We start from the raw sequence: 5,286 nt of genomic DNA, 5'->3' as shown, positions 1-5,286 counted from the left end.
GCCTGCTGCTGGCTGGCTGCAGCAGGGAGACACTACAGGGACAGCAGGCTCCATGGAGCCCACAGGAGCCGGGAACAAGCTGGAGACCCACCTTTTCTGACTTGGGGAGCAAGCTCCCTGGGTGCCACTGCAGTTGCCCAAACCATGGCTGCAGACCTGGGCCTCCTGCTCCACAGAGCAGGCAGAAGACCCTGCCCTCCTGGGTGGGGCTGTGGCCACCCAAGTTGTGGCTGCATAGCCAAGCCTCCCTGTGCTCTTGGGACTGGGAACAGGCAGGATTCCTGCCCTCCTGGGTGCAGCTGCAGCCACCCAAACTATAGCTGTAGACCTGGGCTTCCTGCTCCAGGGAGCAGGAAGCAGCCTGACCTGGGCGCAGCTACAGCTGCCCACATGGCTGCAGGCTCAGGTATCTCTGCACTCTTTGGAGCCCGGGAAGGCCCCAATGCCTTTGGATGCTCAGAAGTGCCTCTTCCCACTGCCTAACTTCTCCCTCCTGTGGGTGCCTGCTGGGATCTCACAGCAAAGACAGGGGGAGCCTGGGTGTCATGAACATCTGTGGGAGGCAGACAGATTCCTGGGCAGAGGGGGTGGTCCCAGTAAGGCCCCACCTTCAGGCCAGGGAGGTCTTGAAGGCTGGGGGTTGGGCTGCTATTCCACTGTCCAGAGTGGGGACTTGTGGTGCCTTTTCCAGCAGCCCATGGCTGCCTATGGACCAATCGGCATGCACTTCCTTCCCTCTGAGGCCCATAAAAGCCCTGGTCTCAGCCAGAGCAGGGCAGAGGATGGAGACCACAGGATGACCAGCTGCAGAGAGGAGCTACCTTCTCTTCTAAGAGCTGGGATGATCAGCTGCAGAGAGGAACTACCTTCTCTGCTGAGAGCTTCAGAGACCTGCAGAGGCACTGGGACTACCAGCTGCAGAGAGGAGCCACCAAATCCAGGGCCTCCTCTCTGCTGAGAGCTGAACACTGGACAGAATGACCTGCCTGCAGAGAGGAGTTACCCACCGTGGGTCTCCTCTGAGCTGTTCTAATACTCAATAAAGCTCCTCTTTGTCTTGCTCACCCTCCACTTGTCTGCATACCTCATTCTTCCTGGACACAGGACATGAACTTGGGCAAAGATGCCACTGGCTGCAGAGGTTTCCGGTGAGAAAAGCAACACCCCAAAGATCCTGTAACATTAGGATTATTTATTTAGTTGTTATCTGTATTGCTTCAAAGCCAGTGTGGGCCCTGGTTGACTACCTAGGTTTTAATTTAGTTTTGCTTTCCCCATGTGGTTTTAGGCCACCTAGCACAAGGGCAAATGGAATCTGCCTCTGGAGTACTGTGCCCAGAGGGGATGGAGTACTTGTGTGTTATGGAAATATTACTAGATAGAGAATGGAAAGAATATCGGCCATGGTTATATAACTGTGCTATTGACTAGAATGTGACTGTGGACAAATCACAGATTCCAGTTCCTTCATCTGTAAAATAAAGGGATTGTACTGGATATTTTCTAAATTACTCTTCAGTGAAGACTTCTGATCCCTATAATTGTGAAAATGAGGGCTCTGACCTGGCTGATCCCTAAAATCCATCTCAGCTCCAAAATTCTATAATATTCTCTTGAACTCATTGTCATGGATAACTGAAAGTTATTTTTAATTCATAAATACAGTGTCTGCTGGTGCTTCTTCAAAAGGAAAGGCAGGAAGGTTTGGTGGTTAAAAGCAAGGATTTTGGTGTCAGGCCAGGCACAGGGAGCTTAAACCCTGGTTCTGCTACTTATCAACAGTGTGACTTGGGACAAGTAATGAGCTCTCAGAGCCTTGGTTTCCTCATCTGGGAAAATGACGATGATAATAATAGTCTCATTGGGCAGATGGAAAGATTACAACAGACAACGTGTATAAATTTCTGGACCAAAATAATTATTCAAGAAATGGTACTTGTTATTGTATACGAACCAAATGACAAACAATTGTCAAGGTTGGGCCTAACCAGATTCAGCATAAGCCATTTGGACTTGGTAATGAATTTCTGCTCACCCTGTACAATGACCTCCAGCAAGATGTCTAAACTTATTGCTGCTATTAGGCCTTGTAATATGTTTCTCTTCTGTTTAGGGAGGATATCTACTACATGACTCTCAAGGTAAAAGTAGTAAATTTTTTTTTTAATGAATTAGAATTCTTTCCTCTCAATTCTAAATTATTTAGCATAATATGCTCACAAAGATTCATTTATTCTGGGAAAATTGGCCTATATTTAAAGATATATAAATACATCAAAGCAGATTCAGTTCATAAAACCAGAGATAGATTTATGGATTTAGGTAGAAAATACTTGATGAAAATCTTCTTAGAACCAAAGGAAAAATTATAATGGTGGAATTTCAGATTTTAGGAGAGTATCAGAAACATAATTTTGTGAAACAATAGTTAACATTTGTTGAGGAACTAGTATGTACTGTCTCAATCCATTACACATATTAATTCTTTTAATTTTTCCAACAACTGTGTAAGAAAGGTATTATTACTATGCTCATTTTACACATGAAGAAATTAAGGCACTAAGAGTTTCAGTAGCTTATGTAATGTCATGCAGATGGTAATAAGAACAGCAAGGATTTCAATCCAAACAATTTGACTCCTGAGCCCTCACACTTTTCTTTCTAATGAGTAAGGATGAATTTATCTTTTTCAAATAATACCACGTAGACAGTGTAGGTAGCCACTCCCATTAGATATTTAATCCTTTGGGTAATGAGGTTTTCGGTTCTAAGAAATGTCTACCAAAATTTATATACCCAGGAAGGCGTAACACTTGAACTCTGATTTCCTTTTAAAATTGTTTACTCCTTATCTCCAAGCTACCAGCTAGATATAGCCACTTGAGTAATCAGAAGAAACCACAAACTCAATGTGTCCAAACTAAGCCCTTCATCTTCCATTCCAATCCTTCTCCTTCTGGGTTCCTGCTATTGACTGAATTGTGTCTCTCTAAAATTCATATATTGAAGCGCTAACCCACCATTTGATGGTATTCAAAGACAAGGCCTTTGGCAGGTAATAAGATTTAGATGAGGTCATGTGGGTGGGGTCCTCAGGATGGAATTAATGCTCTTATAAAAAGAGACCAGGGCTCTTTCTCTTTCTAGCTTCCATGTAAAGACATAGCAAGAAGATGACTATCTGGGGGCCCAAAATTAGGCCCTTACCAGGAACCAAATTGGCAGCACCTTGATCTTGGATTTCCCAGCCTCCAAAACTGTAAAAAATAAATGTTTCTTGTTTAAGGCACCCAGTTTACGGTATTTTGTTATAACAGCCTGAATAGACTAAGATGGTTCTGCATTTCTTTCAGTGACACCACATTCTCAGTCAGGCAGGCTGGATGTTTGGAAATCATCCTCAACTCCTCCTGTTTCTGCTCCGACAATCCATTACTAAATTCTGTTAGTTCTCTTTTTTGGTATTCTTGCTCTGTGTTCAGTACCACAGCGCCTTGTCATTTATTGTCTGGATTATTTATATAATATCCTCATTGGTTCATTTTTTGTCTATGAGTTCCTGGAGACTTAAAGAAGAATTTGAGACACAATGAAGCATCCTTCTTCAAAAATTTCCAGTGGCTTTCCATTGCCTGAAGAATAACATTCAAACTCCTAAGCAAAGAATTTACAGCACCCCATGATAAGGCCTCAATCGCCTCTTCAGCCTCAGATCCTAATATACTTAGCCATATGCCTTTTACTGCAGCCATGTGGGTTCACCAAACATGTTTTCAAGTTCCTGGGTCTTTGCATCTCTGCTTGGTAGAGTTCTTGACTTTTCATCCTGTTCTGAGATCCTACTCATTCTTCAAGACTCTTTTGAAGTGCTTCCTCCCTCTAGCCACCCCATGATTTGTCTCATTAAATGCTTATGTTTCAAACACTGCAAAGTATTTTGTTTCTACCTTGTCATGTCACTTAATTTTCAACATGATTGTCATCTTGTTTAGACTGACAGGTTTGTAAGGACTGGGACCTTTGTACATTGTGTGTTGTACATTGAAGTTGCTCAATAAATGTTTATTGAACTTAATACCTTTGGAGAAAGAGTTAACAAGGACCTATAAGCAAGACGGAAATTTAGGTAAACGGGAGGGCATTGAAATAGAAAAAGAGTGTACTGAAGAGAAAACAGTTTTCTCTTTGTCTTTTGCCCAAGTAAGTCCTCCTTAGGATAGAATCAATGCTTTTTTACCCTGGAGGTACACATTCAAGTCACAAAATCTTTGTGTCATCTACACCAGACTTATGACTTTCATACTTCAGATGTGTACTATAAATAACAAACACAGAATTCTTATTTGTCTTTTAAATATTTGTTGGTTTTATGTCATTTTGCCATTCTTGGTTTAATGTCTGCTACGTAATAGAGGATTTGTCTGGTCTTTGCCCCAGGTTTCTGACATGAAGCTTCTAAAACCCTTGGAATTTCCTGAGAGATAGAAGTCTTTTTGTTATTCCTGAGCCTCCTGAATGGTTCCTGAGTTTATGCTAATGAGGTGACTCACGGTGGGCTATTCGATAGCTTTGGGACAGGGGCTGGGCGCCAGAAGGACCAACCATGTGATTGGAGGGTTGAAACTTTGAGCCAGTCTGACTTCCAGGGAGGACAAGGTGTGGAGATTGAGTTCAGTCATGTTGCTAATGATTTAATCAAGTATGCCTACCTAATGGAACCTCAATAAAAACTGAATACCAAAGCTTAGTGGTGCTTCCTGGTTGGTGAACACATCGATGTGCTGGGAAGGTGCCATGACTTGATTTGATAGGAAGACGATACAGAAATTGTGCACTAGGGACCCTCTCAGACCTTCCCCATGTGTCTTTTCATTTGGCTGATCCAGAATGTATCCTATATAATAAAACTCTAATCCTAAGTATTACACTTTCCTGAGTTCTGAGTTGTTCCAGTAAATTATTGAACCTAATGAGAGACAGGACTAGCTGGATTTCCTAGGCCGACTAAGAATCTAAGCCTAGCTGGGAAGGTGACCACATCCACCTTTAAACATGGGGCTTGCAACTTAGCTCACACCCAACCAATCAGAGAGCTCACTAAAATGCTAATTAGGCAAAAACAGGAGGTAAAGAAATAGTCAATCATCTATTGCCTGAGAGCACAGCGGGAGGGACAAGGATTGGGATATAAACCCAGGCATTCGAGCCGGCAACGGCAACCCCCTTTGGGTCCCCTCCCTTTGTATGGGAGCTCTGTTTTCACTCTGTTTCACTCTATTAAATCTT

General features: G+C 43.0%; 1 annotated feature.

Annotated features, from left to right (window-relative positions):
• Window positions 4,254-4,787: an enhancer, noted in NCBI's record as "OCT4-NANOG hESC enhancer chr1:192856504-192857037 (GRCh37/hg19 assembly coordinates)". NCBI's record gives its function as "activates a minimal SCP1, AML or CMV promoter by ChIP-STARR-seq in naive H9 embryonic stem cells {active_cell/tissue: H9 hESC(naive)}" and the evidence as "EXISTENCE:reporter gene assay evidence [ECO:0000049][PMID:30033119]".

This window comes from Homo sapiens, chromosome 1 (genome assembly GCF_000001405.40).
Source record: "Homo sapiens chromosome 1, GRCh38.p14 Primary Assembly".
NCBI lineage: Eukaryota > Metazoa > Chordata > Mammalia > Primates > Hominidae > Homo > Homo sapiens.
The sequence above is the reverse complement of the archived record's forward strand: the minus strand, read 5'-3'. Positions and strand labels throughout refer to the sequence as shown.